General features: G+C 41.3%; 1 annotated feature.

The window, feature by feature from the left end:
* Positions 203 to 916: an enhancer, noted in NCBI's record as "OCT4-NANOG hESC enhancer chr18:58647560-58648273 (GRCh37/hg19 assembly coordinates)". NCBI's record gives its function as "activates a minimal SCP1, AML or CMV promoter by ChIP-STARR-seq in primed H9 embryonic stem cells {active_cell/tissue: H9 hESC(primed)}" and the evidence as "EXISTENCE:reporter gene assay evidence [ECO:0000049][PMID:30033119]".

Below are 1,759 nucleotides of genomic sequence, written 5' to 3'. Positions count from 1 at the left end.
ACGAGAGCCCCGTCTCGTAGAACTTGGCTAGCAAATGTTTTTCTTCTTACACATGCTTTTATAATTTGCTATCCTAAAAAGACAATTGCAATTGCAAGACAGACAGATTTTATACCATATAGTTTAAGCGCTTATTTTTCTTTAAGCAAAACAAATTAATGGAGAAACTATGAGGGCCGAGTGCAGTGGCTCATGCCTGTAAACCCAACACTTTGGGAGGCTGAGGCAAGTGGATTGCTTGAGCTCAGGAGTTTGAGACCAACCTAGGCAACATGGCAAAAACACATCTCTACAAAGAATACAAAAATTAGCCAGGTGTGGTGGCATGCATCTATTATCCTAGCTACTTAGAGGCTGAGGCAGGAGAATCGCTTGAGCTGGGGAGGTTGAGGCTGTAATGAGCCGTGTTTGCATTACTGTACCCCACCCTGGGTGACAAAGTGAGACTCTGTCAAGAAAGAAATTATGGAGATGTTAACCCCTTAAGCCTTGTGTAATGGAAAAAGTCACAAAACTACAATAGTGAGGGAGCAAACAATACATGATTTGAGACAAAACACTTAAATTTGAAAAGCTTTTGAACTGCAAAGTGAGTCTCTCTAAGCTACAGTTGCTCATTGTTATGGAGCATACTAGGGTTTAAATGTGTCTCCTAAAGTTCATGTGTTAGAAACTTGATCCCCACTGTGAAAGTGTTCAGATGATGGAGCCTAATGGGAGGTGTTTGGGTCATAGAGGTGATCCCCTCATGAGTTGATTAATGCTGTTTTTGTGGGAGGAGCTTCCTTATAAAAGTGGAGTTCAGCCCCCTTCTCCCTCTCTCTCTCACGCACACCCCCTCTCAATTTCCATCATGGGATGACATAAAAAGAAGGCCCTCACCCAAGGCTGGCCCCTCAGTTTTGGACTTCTTAGCCTCCAGAATGGTGATAAATAAATTTCTCTTTTTTATAAATTGCTCAACCTCAGGCATTCTGTTATAGCAACAAAAAATGGACTAAAATAGAACACAAGGTCGTTCTTTGGAGATCACCTTTTTTACTTGCCTATCAGATAAGCTCCCTCACACTGGAAGAAAGCCATTGGCATAAAACTGTGTTTTTGTGTTAAAAATGTACAAATGGTCAAACACTTAAAAATTCTAGAGTTAAAAAGCAATGACCCTTTGATGTTTTCTGAATGCTTGTCAAATAATGAAGTTATTGCCCTGATCAGGCAGGAGAGGTTGATAAAGAGTATAGGGGTTAAGGGTTGCTTACAAATGACAGGAGGGCTGGCTGTATCCTGTCTATGAAGCCCTTATGAAGAAAAACGAAGTCCCAGGAAAATAAAAGGCATTTAGTGTTATGATCTTTATAGATCCTTTGCTTAGTTTTTTGCGAGGTAAAACTCAACTTAGAGAAGATATTTTATTCTCAATGTGTCCAGGCATCTTTGCCAGCTCAGGAACAAATGTAGAGCTCTGCAATAGATAAAACCTGCATTGTGATTAGATGAGCTGCCAATCAAAGTCCTCAGTGGTGTCTGATTGGAGAACAGAATCCTGGATTTGTAGAAATTTGGAGTGGGCTGAACCAATAAACCTCCACACACCTCAGATACCCTGGGACTAGTTCCAAAAAGAGAGCCAGAAACCAGTATGCAGTGTGGGTTTGGGCAGAGACAGGAGTTTTCTCCAGTGGGTGGAAAGAAAAAATTTGACAAAAGGAACAAACCTGGAGTTCCTAGGAGCCCACGGTGATCTGGTGATCTCTGTATA

Source organism: Homo sapiens, chromosome 18 (genome assembly GCF_000001405.40).
Source record: "Homo sapiens chromosome 18, GRCh38.p14 Primary Assembly".
NCBI classification, from domain to species: Eukaryota; Metazoa; Chordata; class Mammalia; order Primates; family Hominidae; genus Homo; species Homo sapiens.
Note: the sequence above shows the minus strand (reverse complement) of the source record. Positions and strands in the feature narration are given on the sequence as shown.